This window comes from Homo sapiens, chromosome 1 (genome assembly GCF_000001405.40).
Source record: "Homo sapiens chromosome 1, GRCh38.p14 Primary Assembly".
NCBI lineage: Eukaryota > Metazoa > Chordata > Mammalia > Primates > Hominidae > Homo > Homo sapiens.
Genome location: NC_000001.11, coordinates 206,206,932 through 206,225,757, shown reverse-complemented (window position 1 = coordinate 206,225,757; position 18,826 = coordinate 206,206,932). Strand labels below are relative to the sequence as shown.

Sequence of the window (18,826 nt, the reverse complement as noted above, 5' to 3'; positions counted from 1 at the left end):
CAAACACGAAGCCCCTTCAAGGGAGAATATTTCTGAAAGTGAAAGGTAAGAAGCTGCAAAAGGAGGTCAGGTATTTGGCACGTAAAAGGGGTGTCATCTATTTCACAGTTTCTCTGCAACATTCCCAATTTAGAAGAAAAGAAAATGACAGATTTAATGAAAGGCGGATGGGGGTGGCACTGTCACTTGCCTAATGAAATTCCTGCTTGAATGGAACTGTCATCTCAAACTCAGGGTATCTAAAATAATGCTCATTCTCTCACCAACTGCTGCACCTCTTCCTGGCTTCCATATGTCTATTTCTGCCATTGCCACCATCGTTCTCCCTGTCTCCCAAACTAAAAACCTCAGGCATTCCTGAGTCTTACTTCACCCCTAGGCCCCACACCCATCTCGGCAGCTCATCTTCCCATCTTAGTGGTATCTCTTGATTACAGTGTGGTCAAACATAATATCCAAGATAAAAGAACCAGCAGGCTTTAGAGTTGGACAGACCTGAGCTGCAGTCCCCATTCCATCATGGGTCACCATCACCTCGGATCATCTGCCTGACTCAAATTTCTTGTTCAGTAAATGGGGACTCGCAATTCCCTCACAGGTGACTCCAGTAATTGATCACATTTAACAGCATGTTTGCAGCACCCACCACAAGGCCTGGTATGCTGTGTGGGCAGGAACAAGCCTCTTGCCCCCAGCCAGGCAACTCAGAGCAACCAGGGAGTCCCTCTGAAATGACTTCATCACACTTCATCACTCTTCAACTCAGAGTGCCCCCACTGTTCTTTGTTGCCCCAGTATGAAGCCAGACTCTGGCTGATCTTCAAGGTCATCAAAAACTATCCAGTTCGATCTTACTCCTCTGTCTATAACTCCTCTGCTCCAGCCCAAGAGTCTACTCCCTCACTCAGCACACATTTATTGGGTGCCTACCACATGCAAACATGGTGCAGGAGGCTGGGAATGTTGAAATGACAGGCTGCCCACTGCCCACCCTCAAAGAACTCACAAGCTTTCTGGTAGTGAGTGTAGTCTGGGGGAAGGAGCGTGGGGGTGGGGGTGAGGGTGGATAAAACCATCATTGTATTAGGGTGTAGGAAGTGATGCAGGAGCGGTAAGCACGGTGGGGGCTGTGGGAACTCCACTGAGGGAAGACACACTGCCTCTGTTCTTTCCTCCTACTCTCGACTTAGCCAAATCCTAGTCCATAAATCAAGGTCTTATTCATTCTGGCCCACACCTCTCCCATCTCAAAATTCCTCAAGTTCTTATCAACACCACTCATTTTCAGTCATCTGCTGGCTGATGTCATTTCTTGTATTGCTGTGGGTTATTTTTTTTTTAACTACTTTCGTATAGGTAGGCTTTTTTCCTCCATGGTTTCTATGATCACAGACAATAAGGACTAGGCTCTAGACAGTTCTAAGTCTCTCACAGAAACTACATACTCATTATTTTGTGGAATAGTTGATATATTTGGAACTACTGACAACTGCAAAATAACACATTCCTTTCCCTTTGAAAAACATGCACTTCCCTCGCTGCTAGGTTCTGAGTTCTGTGTTGTCTTACACTTTTCATCCAACCCAAGATGAGAGACGAAACCCTTGCTATCTCAAAAAACGATCCAAAATGTAATTTGTTTAAAAATGGTAGTTTTTAACTTTTAAAATTGTTCCATCTAAAAAGTTATTCAAATAAAATCTTAGCGGGACACCCAATATCGTGAACATAAAAGCAGAGCTATTCTGGTTGGAGCTGTGGGGACAGCCTAGTGCTGCTACCTCAAAGGGGAAAATATTTGACTCCCTCATCAGCAACCCCTGATGCACATCCAGCGGCAGCACCGCTACAGCATGATGGAGAACTCATCTTGCCCACAAATATGTATAATAAACTTAATGTATGTACAAATGAGACATTACAAATCAATGGGGAAAAAGATGAACCCTTTAATAAATATAGCCACATGGAATATAAAATAAAGTTAGATCCCTACCTCACGCTGTTCACGAAAATTTACTCCTTGTTTATTCAAGACGTTATGTGAAAGGCAAAATGTGTAGGTGAAAATATAGAAGAATATCCTTATGATTGTGTGTGTTTGTCTTTTAAATAAATCAAAACAGTAAAGAAAATTAATTTCTTTAACAAAAAGTAAATTTGACTATATTAAATTTGGAATTTCTTTCTTTTTTTTTTTTTTTTTGAGACAGGGTCTCCTTCTGTCACCCAGACTAGGGTGCAGAGGCATGATCACGGCTCACTGCAGCCTTGGCCTCTAGAGCTCAAGTGATCCTCCCACCTCAGCCTCCTGAGTAGCTGGGATTATAGGAGTGCATCACCATGCCCAGCTAACTTATTTGTATTTTTGGTAGAGACAGAGTCTTAATATGTTGCTTCAGCTGGTCTCAAACTCCTGGACTCAAGTGATCCTCCCACCATGGCCTCCCAAAGTGCTGGGATTGCAGGTGTTAGCCACCATGCTTGGACTTGGAATTTCTTATATATCAAATAATTCAATTAAAAGTAAGATGATAAACTAAATCTGGGAGCAGGTATTGCAACCTATAATCGTCAACAATGAGTAAACAGAATATAAAAGGAACATCTACACATCAATTATTAGAAAAAGCAAGATGGCCTAAAAGAGTTGTCTCTAGATTGCAATTTAAGAACTACTCTGAGGCCGGGCACGGTGGCTCACGCCTGTAATCCCAGCACTTTGGGAGGCCAAGGTGGGAGGATCACTTGAGGTCAGGAGTTCAAGACCAGCCTGGCCAACACAGTGAAACCCCGTCTCTACTGAAAATACAAAAATTGGCCCAGCGTGGTGGCACGCACCTGTAATCCCAGTTACTTGGGAGGAGGCCATATATTATCTCAGTTTATCTATACAACCACCCTGGGATGTAGGCAGAACATATATTATGCCAGTTTCTTGATAAGGAAATTGAGACAACTTAAATGATCAGTCCAAAGGGAGAGAAATATACATATATCTTCCCGAGTAAGATGCAAAACCTACTTTTCTATCTTCTAATGTACAATCTTGCCATTACAAAAAACTACCTCCATCTTTTTTTTTTTGGAGACAGGATCTCCAAAATGTTGCCCAGGCTCATCTTGAACCCCTGGGCTCAAGAGATTCTCCTGCCTCAGCCTCCAGAGTAGCTGGGACTATAGGTACACATCACCATGCCTGGCTTATCTCTATTTTCTAAAAAATACCTGTATACACAAAAATCTATACATGAATGTTCAGAGCAGCTTCATTCATAACAGCCTAAAATAGGAAACAACCCATATGTCCGAACCATCATACATTCATACCATAGAATACTGCTCAGCAATAAAAAGGGATACACTATTGATATGCACAACAACCTGAATGAGTCTTCAGAGACTTGTGCTCAGTGAAAAAAAAAGGCCAATCCTAAAAAGCTACATGCTAATGGTTCCATTTTTATAATATTCTTGAAATGACAATATTATAAACATGGACAAGAGATTAGTGGTTGCCAGCAGTTAAGGACTAAGGACTAAAGTGGGGTGAGATGAAAGAGTGAACTGGGAGGGGCAGGACTAGAAAAGGACAACATGAGTGATCCTTGCAGTGATGGAACTGTTTAGAATTTTGACTGTATCAATGTCAAGGTCCTGATTATGATATTGTGTTATAGTTTTGCAAGATGTTAACCATCAGAGGAATCTAAGTAACAGGTATGTGCAATCTCTCTGCATTATTTCTTACAACTGCATGTGAATGCATAATTATCTCAAAATAAAATATTAAAAAAAAAAAAAAAAAAAAGGCCGGATATCATCCTGCCCTGTGTTGTACAATTCTGAGGTTAAATGAGATAAAGTATGGCAAGGCACTTCGACTGCCTTGTGCCCTGTAAATACTAGGTAACATCATCATCTTCCTCTATCAACCAGTCTCATCAGCATTACTCACTGTTAGACTATTCCTTATCCACAGAGCCTTCGATATCTCTCTACTATGACCCTATCACTGTACTTGTGTAATCCGATCACCCCTCTTGCTATTGTTTGAATGTCCCCTCCAAAACTCATGTTGAAACTTAATCCCCATGGTGGGGCCTTCAAGAGGTGACTGGATCATGAAGGCATGTCATCATGAATGGATTAATAGATTAATGGGTTATCTTGGCAGTGAAACTAGTGGCTTTTTAAGAAGAGGAAGAGGGACCCGAGCTGGCAAGTTTACACACTCAGCTCCCTCTCTATGTGATATCCTACGCCACCTTGGGACTCTGTGGAGAGTTCGCATCAGCAAGAAGGCCCTCACCAGATTCAGCCCTCAATCTTGGACTTCCCAGCCTCCAGAACCGGAAAAAAAAAATGGTTTCTTTGCAAATTACCCAGTTTCAGGCATTGTGTTATAATCAACAGAAAACGGACTAAGACATTTCTAATAGACTGCAGCTCCTTGAAGGCAGAAACTTTTTTCTGTATCTCTCTATGCCCACAGCTTAGCATAGTATAAAACATATAGGCCAGGTACGGTGGCTCATGCCTATAATCCCAGCACTTTGGGAGGCTGAGGCAGGCGGATCATGAGGTCAGGAGTTCGAGACCAGCCTGAACAACATGGTGAAACCCTGTCTCTACTAAAAATTTAAAAATTAGCCAGGCGTGGTGGCACGTGCCTGTAATCCCAGCTACTCAGGAGGCTGAGGCAGGAGAATCACTTGAATCCGGGAGTCGGAGGTTGCAGTGAGCCAAGATAACATCACTGCACTCCAGCCTGAGTGACAGAGCAAGACTCTGCCTCAAAAAAAAAAAAAAGACAACATACAGTAGGTGCTAAATAAATGGCTGCCAGGTTGAAATTAGCTCATGATCTTCTTGTTCAATACAAAGTGTCCCAACACTGGAGGAAGTGAGGAGGGGAGGGGACAGGAAAGAACACTCCAGTAGCTATAAGCCAACGCCTTGAAAGTTTCATCAATAGCCTCCTCCTTCCCAAGTTGCTGAGAACCCAAATGAAGCAAATGTCTGTAAAGAGGGTGTGGCCACAGCAGCAAAAACATGAGTTCAATTCATCAAGTCTCTTCTTTAAACTATTTCAAGTTCTGCAAATGAAGGAACTGACCATTTATAGATTGGGTCACTGGAACAAGATGGGAAGGTGGGCTGTGGTATACTATTCTGGAAAGGATTTTAAAGGTTAGCTGACGGCCCTTTTCCTGAAATGATTAACACTGAAGAACTGTCCGAGGGCAGAATGTATTTAAATACTCTGTCAAGATCTCTCAGAGATCTGACACTCTCGGCCTAGGCAAACATATTTGGCTAGTGAGGTGGGGAGGGGGTTCCCATGCCCTGAAAACAATGCTAGCTCCTCACTCCTACTCCAAATAGTTTCAAGCATAAAAAAGTAGAAGCAGTTGCTTTGCTGCTCCTAACGTTATCGGATAATTTTTCAAATTCTTACTCAATTACATATCACGCTCTTATCTTCAATCTCCACAGGCCAAATAGCCTTGCTTTCACATCGTGCCCACTAAGCCTGCAGAACACAAGTATCCCTCCCAAGTAATTCCAGCTCTCATAAACATGAGATCATTTTACATTAAGTTTTGTTAGAGTATTTGTGTGTATGGTGTTTGTGTGCGTGCGTGCACACGCGCATGCATAAGTGTGCATATGCCTTTTCTTCTAATAAGAGTAAGGAGATTTAACGCAAGAGAAGGTTAGAAACTTGGGAGGTTTCTGTCTCTGCTTAATGATTAACTCTTTTGCTACTGAATCCAGAAGAGCTGGCCTTTCTGGACTGGCAGTCCCACTCCCTGGCCAAAACAGCAAAAGAAAGCTCATACGCACACATTCACTCTTAGAAAGAAGTAACCAGCACAAATCGGTTTCAGCTTTGGCAGTGAGAACACTACTGCAGTTTTAAGGAGAATTAGGTGTTTCCATATTGTGTTGTTACTGGCCTTAAAATATCCAGATCAAGAACCTCATTAATCAAAGTAACACGTCATCTACCCAAAATGCTTCAATGTTTGATTTAAAATTGCTGACAGCAAAGAACTGAGATAACTTACATAACCACAAATCACTGAAAAAGAGAGATCAGGAGATACAGCACAACGGACTCTAAAAATGGCTAAAAACACAAAGCCTAATTAATGTCATTTAAAGATGAAACCTTTAAGAAGAAAACAAAGAAAAAAAAAAAAAGATGAAACCTTAAACCAGAAGTAGAAGAGGGGAGTAGGAAGAACCTGTGCTATCTATTCTCTGGTTTCTATCCTTCCCCCAGGACAATAATCAACATCTAGACTCTATGTGACAACTCACTTAACAATAGCCATTTTTTGTTCATATGTCCTAAAAATCATGAAGCTAGGAACTAGTAATCCATCTTTCCACTTTCCAGCTGAGAAGCTGAGAATCCCAAAGGTGGAATGACATCTTCAACATTACATAGCTGGTCCTCCATTACCCTACATTTCTTCCTCCCTATGAATGATATTTTTTAAATGCTGTAATGATAAAAATATGAGCTGTCATTATTATTAATAGTACTCATTTAAAACAACAGACTATTACTAGCCTATTCATTAGGCGAAAGGAAAACAAACATAAACATGAAAACATTTCAATTCCACATTACAGCATGCTTCATCACAATCCTCAAAGAAATCCTTAGTTGACAAAAGGCCTAATACATAAAGAGCAATGTAAGAGGCAAGAGGCCACTCCACATCCTAAAAGGGCCTGAAGTCACTTCCCGAACAACCCAGATGTCTAGATCAACCCTATACCAGTTCCATAACCACACTGCCTCCCCCAGGTTTGTCCCAGACCAGATGTCAGAGATTAAGAGCCTCCCACTTCCTTATTTCTTTAATTTTCATTAAGGACAATCAATCAACTTCCTTTTTCTTTTAAATTTAAGTACTGCACACAACAACATAAATATCTGTAATACTAAGAGTTACACAAATTCCATTTCTGACCTACCAACATGGATGGGGAAAACCATACAAACCAGTTACAGCAGGGAATTTTCTAACTCTAGAAGTCTCTGAGCTTACTGGAAGTCCAAAGTTTAATAGTTATCCTGATTAAAACATCCTGATTAAAGTGATCCAGTCACAAGTTCACCTGTAGGTCCATCAAGTAACTCTCTCTCCCCTCGATTTTTCTCCAGCTGTGAGGCACATCTTCCTATTAGATCGTGATACTTCAACAAGTATCACTTCAACTGCTCTCCAGGCCAGCTGCCACTCTGGTACTACCTACCACCTGGGGCCTACCCTCCATAAGTGTGCAGCAGCCATGCAGGCATGGCAAGTTCTGGGGGTGGAAAGAATGTCATTCAGAGAATATAATGGTTTTTGTACTTCAAAGTGTGTCTACTTAAAAGGGACAAATCATCATCTTCAACATCTTTTTTGTTGTTTGTTTTTGAGACGGAGTCTTGCTCTGTCACCTAGGCTGGAGTGCAATGGTGCGATCTGGGCTCACTGCAACCTCCGCATCCCAGGTTCAAGCAATTCTCCTGCCTCAGGCTCCCAAGTAGCTAAGATAAATTACAGGCACCCGCCACCATGCCCAGCTAATTTTTGTATTTTTAATAGAGACAGGGTTTCACCATGTTGGCCAGGCTGGTCTTGAACTCCTGACCTTAGGTGATCCGCCTGCCTCGGCCTCCCAAAGTGCTGGGATTACAGGCTTGAGCCACCCAGCCAGGCCGATCTTCAACGTATTAATAAGCAAAAATCATGAACCCTGAAAGCTGGAAGGACCTTAGAAAGTTTCTAATGTTTAACCCCTAGTATTTTAGATGAGAATACCAAGGCATAGGGAGGTACAGTAGGTATGTAACAGAAAGACATTTAAAACACTGCATTAATTCTTTATTGTACCAAGTTACTAGGAAATGAGGACAATCAACTGAGTGTGTACAGCATCTCATAGTTTCAACTGAATTCTTTCATTTCAGCTTCACACCAGTGTTAAGTCAGCTTGGGTTCATAATCTGTCCTCATCACTTACTAGCCATGTGCTTCAGAGCAAGTTATTTAACCTCACTGTGCGTCATCTGTAAAATGGGGATAATAATAGCAGCTACCTCACAGGACTGTTGAGAAATTCATGAGTTCATATATGTAAAGCACCTAAAACAGAGCTGAGACATAAGAAGCACTTGATAAACGCTAACCATCATCATCATCATTATTATAAGGGCCAAGAATTGTTGTTCCCATCTTACAGGGATTTTATAGGGAAACTAGGGATTTTGAGACCTTAGGTGAGTTATCTCCAAAATCATGGTAGCCAATGACAAAGCTAAACTAGAACCCAAGCTTTCTGCCTCCCAATCCAGCACTTTCCCTTAGGATCATTCTGCCTGTGTAGAATCCTGTAGCTCAACGCGTAACAAAGTACTGTATTGGCCCAAAAGAAATGTTGCTCCAGAATAGGTACCTCAGTCAAGATGTCTTCCCAAAGAGCAGCTTACTCATCTGACAAGCTCTAGTGCAGTATCTCCACCGCCTACCAAAATAATAAACACACGCACACACAAAATCTAATGGGGAAAGGAAGCAGATTTCTAAGGGATTTCAATGTTTGGAGAAGAGTTGGCAACAGCCAACTCTTCAGAAACAAGACATATTTCTTAAAGCTTATGGCATGGCTTGTCATGGCCAGCTCATGCTCTTAAGTCCCTTTGTTTTCTGTGCTTTGTCCTCCTGTGGAGCCCTGGCCACCCAGCCACCCATGGCTGCCAGGGTCATCTTCTCCAGGGAGAGTATTCAGATCCTGCCCACCATGCCATGATTCTAAATGCAAGATCTGGGCTCAAACAGCAAAGATAAGGTCCCAACTTTCACAGTGATTTCTGGGTCACCTCTCCACTGATTAATGCATTTAGAAGATATGGTTAAGAAAAACAAACAAACAAACAAACAAACAAACAAAAAAACAAAGAGAATATGCCTTCTTCCTAAAGGATGATATCCTAAAATATACACCAAAATGGAGGAACATGTCCCAACTGTTTTTCCTTCCTCACGAATACATATTTCAAGTTCAGAACCATTCATTCACAACGTATAAATAAGGTCAAGGCTATTTCATACCAAATGACTTGAAAAATCATAAGGGACCATTTTCCTGCTTGTTCCTTAGGACCTCTCCTTCCCCATTTACCAAAGATCTCACAGCTGCTTCTAACCAGGCAATAGCTCTCTCCACACCGTGCTTTGAAAAAGGAACAAAACAGTTCCTTTTTCAGGTCAACCCAGTTTTAACTCCAGGTCAAGACAGACAAACTTTCTCAAACTTAGACTTTTAGTGCCTGATTAAAATGGTGAATAAATCCTGGACAAACGTAGAATGTGTTTTTGCTTCAATTACAGAAAGCCTTATGTTTGTTTTAAACTCTCGGGAATTTCAGTGTTAACATTTTTCTTGGTTTCCAAGGTAAGAGATGTGACTGAAGAAATTTGGTCAAAGCAAGTATAGCTCTAGGGCAGTGACTCTAAAGAGGGCAGTGATTCTAAAGAGGGCTGTGCCAGCAATAAATTTAAGGAGAAACACACCCCCGTGGGGGAGGATCCATAAGGCTATGTAGTTTGTACTTGTCCTTGTATAATGCAAATATATTCACAAAGTTTAATCTATATCAAATTTCAAATAATATTAACATAGGGCATGGGTTTCTTACTGGAGTCGGGGAGAAATGCAGAAGCGTGCCATCATGGCACTATCACATCCAAACTCAACTCAGAAGACAGTTCAATTCAACTTATAAACATTGTAGTGCTTACTATGTGTCAGGAGCTGGACATGCAGAAATGAATAAAAGACCATTCTTTCCTGAAGGTGCTCAGTGAGTTGTAAACAAAGAGATGTAAATGAAGAGATCGCAATGTAATATGATGAGTGCAATAATACAAGAGTGTACAAAGACACTGCAGAGGAGATGCTGAGAGCATACTGATGAACTCTGTGCAGAAGGCAAGGGGAGATGCTGAGGAATCCTGCTTGGGATCCCGCACAGGGGAGCAGGGAAGGCTTCCTGGAGGGGTGGCATCTGAGCTGCTTTAAAGGATGAATAAGTTTTACAGGTTCAAGGAAGAGGACCCATTCCAAAGAGAGGGCACAGCATGGATACAGCACAAACCATGACACAACATGATAAAGAAAGGAAACTAGAGGCAGTTCAGCTGTAAGGCAGTATAAAATGTAAGCAGGGTAAGTGGGAAGTGATTAATATTAACAGTCTTTTATGCTACGATGTTAGCAAAAAAAAAATGAGTTTTTAAAAATCACTCTGGTGACATTGTGCAAGACACAGTGTCAAGATACAATTAAACTATTTCTAAAAGATTATTTGTAGTAGTTAGGTCATCCATTCATTCAGTACTACAGACAATAAGTGTTTACTGAGAGCCACCATTTGAGCTACAATAGTCTTCCAGACACGTTTCCTATCTGAAGGGACCTTATAATAAGCTATTTATTTAGCATTTAATATTTGCCATACACTGAGCCAGTACTCTTAACACAACTGCAATTAATAGCAAGGCAGGTCTCATTATCTCCACATCACAGAAAAGGAGGCTTGGAAGAGAAGTTGAGTGACTTCAGCAAGGTCACACAGCAAGGAGGTGATGCTGACAAGACTCCAACTGAGGGCTGGTTCCAGAGCCTGTATTCTTTGCATTGCACTACACAACTTCAAAACATTCCTACATTCAGAAGTCTGGTAGAAGAAAAAAGAATGAAATACAAATATTCCAAACATAAGGCAGTATGAGATCAATGCCATATGAGATCTATTAAGAGAAGAACTGTGTGGGTGAAATAGAGAGAAGGGTTATTTCTGGTCAGAGCAATTAAGGAAGGAATCCCAGAAACGTTGGGCTTTACCAGAAAGGTGAGATTTCTTTCTTTCTTTTCTTTTTTTTTTTTTTTTTTGAGATGGAGTTTCACTCTTGTTGCCCAGGCTGGAGTGCAAGGGCACGATCTCGGCTCACAGCAACCTCCAACTCCTGGGTTCCAGCCATTCTCCTGCCTCAGCCTCCCAAGTAGCTGGGATTACGGACAAGTGCCACCACCCTCAGCTAATTCTACATTGTAAGTAGAGACAGCGTTTCACCATGTTGGTCAGGCTGGTCTCGAACTCCCAACCTCAGGTGATCCACTGCCCCCAGCAGAAGGATGAGATTTCAATAGGTGAAGATACGGGACTGCGCAGCGAAAAAGGGGCATTTCATGAGCAACACGTAGAACTTAGACTCTGGCGACAACCAAGGTTCCTATTCCATTATTCACCAGCTGCAGACCCTGGAGAAATAACTGAATGTCCTACACCTCACTTTTTTCATCAGTAAAATGGGATACTAGTAACATCTTTTTCCTAAAGTTGGAGTAAGGATTATGGAATAATCTATATAAAGTATTTAGCATAATGCTTAGTAAGTGGTAAACATCCAACAGACAGCAAATGTTAGCTAGTAGTCTATGTGTTTAAAGAATGGTAAGCAGTCAAGTTAGGCTTCCAGTCCTCTTAAAGCAAAATAAGAAATGTGGTCGAAACAATAGGTTGCAGTCAGATTGAGAATGAAGTTCATGTCTACCTTAGAAAGTTGGTCTGTATTTAGCAGGCAATAGGGAGTCAATCATTAGAAGAAAGAAGCCATATTAAGAACATTCTGAGTAGATCTCCAGTGGGAGCCTCTAGCCCCTCTCCTTGACATCTGGCTTATTTGTGACCCCTTCTAAAAAGGCATGAGGCCCTAGGACTAGTTCAGGCCAGATCTATTTTTTCGTTTGCTTGTTTTTTGTTTTTGAGATGGAGGCTTGCTCTGTCACCCAGGCTAGAGTGCAGTGGCATGATCTCGGCTCACTGCAACCTCTGCCTCCTGGATTCAAGCGATTCTCCTCCCTCAGCCTCCTGAGTAGCTGGGATTACAGGCACCCACCACCACGCCCAGCTAATTTTTGTATTTTTGTAGAGATGAGGTTTTACCATGTTGGCCAGGCTGGTCTCGAACTCCTGACCTCAGGTGATCCGTCTGCCTCGGCCTCTCAAAGTGCTGGGATTACAGATGTAAGCCACCACACCCAGCCAAGCCAACTCTATATGGAAACAGACACTGTCATTTGTCCACTCCTAACATGGCCATGATTTTTTTTCTTTTCTTTCTCACTCCATCCTGTACCTTCCCTCCTAAAAGCAGAGTAACGGCTGAGACACAATTATTAGCCTGACTTTCCTTGGAGATTGTCTTGGTTAAACAAATTTTCCAGAAACTAATCTGGGTAGCTTAGATCATTATTTATTTGTTACTTTTTAAAATTTGTTAATACCAGGCTTTCATTTAGTTATCTTGAAGTTAATGCCTCTTCTATAACATAATTATTAGCTCTATCACCTAGGCTAGACTGCAATGGTGCAATCAATCATGGCTCCCTGCAATCTCGAACTCCTGGGCTCAAGCAATTCTCCTGCTTCATCATCCTAAGAGAGCCTAGGACTACAGGTATGTGCCATCACACCCAGATAATTTTTTTTTGAAATGGAGTCTCGCTCTTGTTGCCCAGGCTGCAGTGCAATGGCGAGATCTCAGCTCATTGCAACCTCTGCCTCCCAGGTTCAAGTGATTCTCGTGCCTCAGCCTCCCGTATAGCTGGGATTACAGGTGCCTGCCACCACACCCGGCTAATTTTTTTATTTTTAGTAGAGACAGAGTTTCACCATATTGGCCAGGCTGGTCTTGAACTCCTGACCTCAGGTGATCTGCCCACCTCCCAAAATCCTGGGATTACAGGCGTAAGCCACCGTGCCCAGCCAGTTTTTTGTTTTTTGTTTTTTTTTCTTGCAAAGATGGGGTCCCACTATGTTTCCCAGTTTGGTCTTGAACTCCTGGGCTCAAGCAATCCTCCCACCTTGGCCTCCCAAAGTGCTGGAATTACAGATATGAGCCACTGTGCCTGGCCAATAGTACTGGTTTATTAATACATTATAATGAAGAAACTTTGGGGGTAATGATTACATTCACTATCTTGATTGTGCTGGTTTCATGGGTATTATATATGTCAAAGCCTATCAAATTGTATACCTTAAATATGTGCAATTTATTAAATGTCAATTAAATCTCAATAAAGCTATTAAAAATATGGTAAAAGTTTAGTAATTCATGTAATTATTAAAAGGTGTACAACTTTATAATTAATAATATACTAATATACAAGCTAATGCACATATTAAAACCTTAAATTTAAAAAATTTATCAGGACAAGTGATTATATAGAAATGTATATACAGGCTTGTAAAACTTTGGTATAGTGTACCTTTTAAAAAAAAAATAACCAGCCTGGGCAATGTAGGGAGACTTCATCTCTACAAAAAATTTTAAAACTAGCTGGGTGTGGTGGCATGTGCCTATAGCCCCAGCTACTTCGGAGGCTGAGGTGGGAGGATCACTTGAGCCCAGGAGGTCAAGGCTGCAGTGAGCCGTGATCAAGCCACTGCAATCCAGCCTGGGTGACAGAGTGAGACCCCATCTGAAAAAAAAAAGAAAAAAGAAAAAAGAACACCCCTATGTTACACCTATGTTCACAGCAGCATTATTCAAAATAGGCAAAAGGTGGAAACAACCCAAGTGTTCATCAATGAACGAATGGGTAAACAAAATGGGGTACATACATACAATTAAATATTATTCAACCTTAAAAAAGAAAGAAATTTGGACATATGCTACAACATGGATGAACTTTGAGGACATTATAGGAAGTGAAATAAGCCAGTAACAAAAAATATATACAATATGATTCCACTTACCTGCAGTATCTGGAGTTATCAAATAGAGACAAAGTACAATGGTGCTTGCCAGAGACAGGGGCAGGAGGGAATAGGGAGCTGTTGTTTAATGGGTATAAAGTTTCAGTTTTGCAAGATGAAAAGAGTCATTTAGATGGATGGTAGTGATGGCTGCACAACAATGTGAATGTACTTAATGCTACTGAACTGTACTCTAGAATGGTTAAGATGGTCAACCTCCTGTGTATTCTACCACAATTACAGAGAGTAAGGGAGATATGAGAGTTCCTACACATTATTGTAAAATCAGTAAGGGTGTTAATTTTGTAATTTTTTAAAATGCTTTTAAGTGCTGTTATTACTTATGTTTAAACCTAACAACTTCCAAGGCAACTTTCCCAGATTCCCCAAAAAGTCAATTCTGGAGCTGACACCAGGTTAAAACTGCTAATTTTATTACTACCAGAAATCTACATATCAACTGCTTTTTCCCTGCAATATGACATATTTTCCTAATGTAGCTGTCAGAGGTCAAGGGTATAAGGTAAGCACAATTCCCATGAAGCATTCTCACTTCTGGAAGGACAACTCTACAGGTGCCACTGGGTAGCCCAGTTTATCTGGAGTGAATAATGGGAGTCAGGGTCTGGGTACCTGCTGATTTTAATAGTGAGGGCGCCTACATACTGCAGCCAGGTCCATCTCTGGACACCTCATAGCAGAGAAATCATCAGAGCCTGTCTAAGTTTTCAACCTGCATGATACATAACGGATGTGGCCACAATTACCAGATAGGCTTCTTCAAAGGAAATTTCTGTTCTCATTCCCCAAGAACACCTGAAATTGAAAAAGCTAAGGACCCCTCATGAACACTGTTTCCAACTACTGCTTCTTTGCACAGTACACTGCATCCCCTGGCTCCTTGCCCACCACCTTCCTCTAGGGTCTTTCAATTGCAAGATGCAGAGTATGGTACTTGAAAGTTTCCAAGAGTTTCATTTTCTTCCAGTTCACCTTACTGCTGCAGAGTAGCTTTTTTTGTTGTTGTTTTTTCCCCTGAGCAAGGGACAGGAGCCCTCAATCATCTTGCAGGAAAATGATAGCATCTGCTTGAGGATTCCAACTAAATGTTTTACTGCAGCTTTTCAAACTGACTATATTTAACTGATTATATTTAAAACTGATTAACTGATTATATTTAAAGCTCCCTTGGGGAATGGGAGCTGTGAGGAAAGAAGCTTTGGAGAAGACCTTTGTTGGCATGAATGAAAAACTGCTCAGACCTCCCAAGGGAAAGAGCTTGTTTATATACCAGCCATCAACATTCCCAAGTATATATACACACACAATACGACTCCAGTTTTAAATTTCATCTCCTGCTCTTGAAGGGTCCTGAAAGGGTTAAACTGTTCCAAGCAAAGGCCTGCACTTTTTCTATCAAAATGCTCCAGATGGAAATTACAAAATTTCGCTTCCAGCTCTGTGGTGCACACACACTGTTCTCCTAAGACATTAAAAAAAAAAAAAAAAAAAAAAAAAAAGACAAGACCCCTAATGTTCTCGAGAAAGAAAATGTGACTGCTCAGCATACAGTGCCACCCTGTTTCAGACTATTTCTTCTGGAATATTTGCATGAACTGTCAATCTCAAGCTTTCTGGGAGACTGTAAAAACTCAAGGTATAGAGAGGGTAAAGGAAAGGGGCCTTAAATAAGGAAAGAACAATAGCTGGGACTGTATACAGTCATGTGTATTCACCCAAATACCACCCAGATTCACAACCCTGGTAACCATGCCCTGCAACTTACCACCTTCGCTGCTCCAATCCCAGCAACAAGCTAACAGGCTAGAGGCCAAAGGCTTCAGTTTATGACCATGAATCTGACCAGGGTTGTAAAGAATTTCCAGAGATTAATGTACATCAGCCCTCCCCATACCTGCAGGTTCCATATCTGCAGATTCAACCAAATGGGAATGGAAAATATTCAAGAAAAAAAAAAAAACAATAAAAATACCAATACAACAATTTAAAATAATACAAATTTTAAAAGCAGTATAACTATTTACATAGCATTTACACTGTATTAGGTATTATAAGTAATCTAGAGATGATTTAAAGTATACAGAAGGACGTGTGTACATAGGTTATACGCAAATACCACACCATTAGTTATCAGGGACTTGAGCATCTGCAGATTTTGGTATCCTGGGGGAAGTGGGGGTAGTCCTTGAACCAATCCCCTGAGGATACTGACGGACAACTACATATGAAAGCATAATGTAAATTGGAAAGAGCTATGTAAAAAGACTAAGAATATTATTGCTTTCAAGTCAGACATTGAGAGGCATGAACTTTCCAAGGAATCTGGGCACCCACAAACCAGAAACAATGATGGTTTTTAAGAAGACACTACAAGGCAGGCTGACTAAGGAGGCACACCCCTCATAAAACCACTCTGGGGTAGGGTTGGGGCTGAAGCCTCAGGAGTTCCTCAGGGCACATGCAAGCAGGTGGTTTATAGGGAGGCAAAAATCAAGGGATAGGGAGGGTCCCAGAAAGTCCCATGAGATGAGGGTCCCATTTAGAGTCCATTTGACTCAAACAATTCTGATTGAAAAAACAGGACCTGGGACTCTGGTCAAAGACAGGCCGAACCACAGTGGCCAATAATTAGTTTACTTGTTCACTGACAGAAAAAGAAACTGATGTCCAGAGGGTTTAAGTGACTGACCCAAGATGTTTTGTTACAACTAAATGATCTTAAGCTAGAACTTAAGTTTCATTCCTTACTTATTTCCTATCATTTAATAGCTGGCACTTTGGGAGTGAATATGCAATGCAGCCTCAATAGTCAGCCCAATTCAGCAAAAGAAAGGCTCACAGAGAAGTAGACCGTACCATTATTGAGCACTTACAAGTGCAAGATACTGTTCTAAATAATTTATATATCTCATCAACAACTCACTACTATCTTAGGAAATGTATTTTATTTTACCTATTTTCCAAATAAGGAAACTGAGGCTCAGACAAGTCATGTAACTTGCCTGAAGTGAAAGGCTAGCTACTGTCAGAACCAAGATTTAAACCTGAATCACTTTGACTCTAAAAATTGCACTTAACAACCAAACCAAACTGCATAGCTGTTACAGCAATTTTCTTTTTATCTTGGCATCTGTAAGAGAAGTAAGTCTGGCAGCACCATGAGTCCCATATAACACACAAAAAGCTGACACTCATAATAATTCTGACCCAGGGCTTCTAGCTAGTCGGGGGCAGAGCCAAACCAGATCGCAGGCCCTTTGTCTCCAAATTCTGTGCTGTTCCATAGAGAGCCCAGCTTCCAGAATATAAGCTCCATGAGGGTAGAGACTTTTTCTTCTTCACAGCTGTATGGCCAATCACCAGAACACACAGCAAGCACTCAATAAATAGTTAATGAATAAAGGAATGAAGTCAAGCTGCCATGGTTTGGCTGTGTGACCTTGGAAGGGCTTCTCATCCTCTCTAAGCCTCAGTTTCCTTATATGGTGAATGGAAGGTGACAATAATACCCATTTCCTGGGTTGAGGTAAGGATTAAACCAGACCATTCATTTAAAGCACTTGGGATGGACTGGAACATAATGAGCAACCAAAATGTAATCTATTATCATTATCATTATTACTATTATTATTCATTGACAGATTTGGGCTCCTTAAGAATTTTTTATTTTTTTCCACCCTGGTCAGATGATGTTTCATAGTAAAGATACAGAATAGAGAATTGAGAGTTGGTAAATCTGCTTCTAGTTTCAGATCTGCCACCATCTAGCCGTGTGACCTTGGACAAGCCTCTTCAGTTCTCTGTATTCTCCTCAGCTGTAAAATGAAGGACTAAACTATTCAAATCAGTTCCATAAGCATTCATCAGGCACCTTCTCGGAGTAAGACATCATGCTCAGCCACCTATAAAATTCTATGATCCTGAATAGTATCAATGGGAAAATATCAGAGCAAAGCAAAATAGTCTGTTTGTGGCAAGGTTGAAGAGAGAACCCAAATAGCCGACTGCATTACATCATCTCAATGAGCAATGTTTGTAAATATCCAAAGTGTTTAATTTTGAGACACTCTTGAGAAATCCTTTGCCAATAAGAAATTGGCAGATATGGTTCTATTAACACCTATCAGCCTTGAACCTTCCAAAAATTAAACATTTAAAGTCACTTTGCACCTTAGTCAAATGGCGTGCTTCTGGAGAGAAATCTGGGAAGATCAAAGTTATTAACACTCCCGATGGCAACAGTTTAAGAATAGGATGTGTTAAAAAAAAAAAAAAAAAAAGACATATCTGGTTAAAACTGCAGGGGGGATTCCAAGAGCAAATGCAATGCATCTGGACAGGACATGGAGGCCAGTGGCCTATTGTTTACAAAAACAAGCCTGGATTATGAACAGTGACAAGAGGCCAAGACCTCAATAATAACTCACAACCACACCTCTCTCAATCCCAGTTCAACTGAAGCTATCAATCAGTCAACTCCCCCATCTCTGTAATAAACCTACCAATATTTGCAGCCAAGTGGATAGAAGGCCCCTTAGGGCACCTCCAGCACTGACCAAACTAATGACATAAAAAAGATCCTGTAGGTACAATGAGGACTTCAGACTACCTTCCAACCTTCCAAGAGATAAGGGAGCTGCCCATTTCAAACTCTACACCTACCCCCACCCCCCAGCAATCATTAGAGGGGAGCCATGGCCCTTCCCAAGTCCTCTCTGATAGGAAAAGGTCTCCTTGCACTGGTGCAGGGAAAGGAGGGGCCCCTCCCTCTGTACTCTGAAACAAAGGAAAACCCAGAGCTCCAACCATGTGGTGTAACATTCAAGGCCACCCACCTCTTCCACTCCCCAGCTAAGGTCTCAATGGGCTGGAGCCACATGGCTCTTTCCAGTGACTGACCAGGAAGGGACAGTGCCTTGCACAAACACATGCTGCAGCTCTTTAACAGGCAGGAACCCTTCCTATGGGAAC

The 18,826-nt window shown here is 41.3% G+C and overlaps 1 protein-coding gene across 12 annotated transcripts in view; it reads right to left on the bottom strand.

The window, feature by feature from the left end:
- The window catches only part of SRGAP2 (SLIT-ROBO Rho GTPase activating protein 2), a 260,896-nt gene that overhangs the window by 238,679 nt on the left and 3,391 nt on the right, over positions 1 to 18,826 (bottom strand). The window lies entirely within an intron of this gene.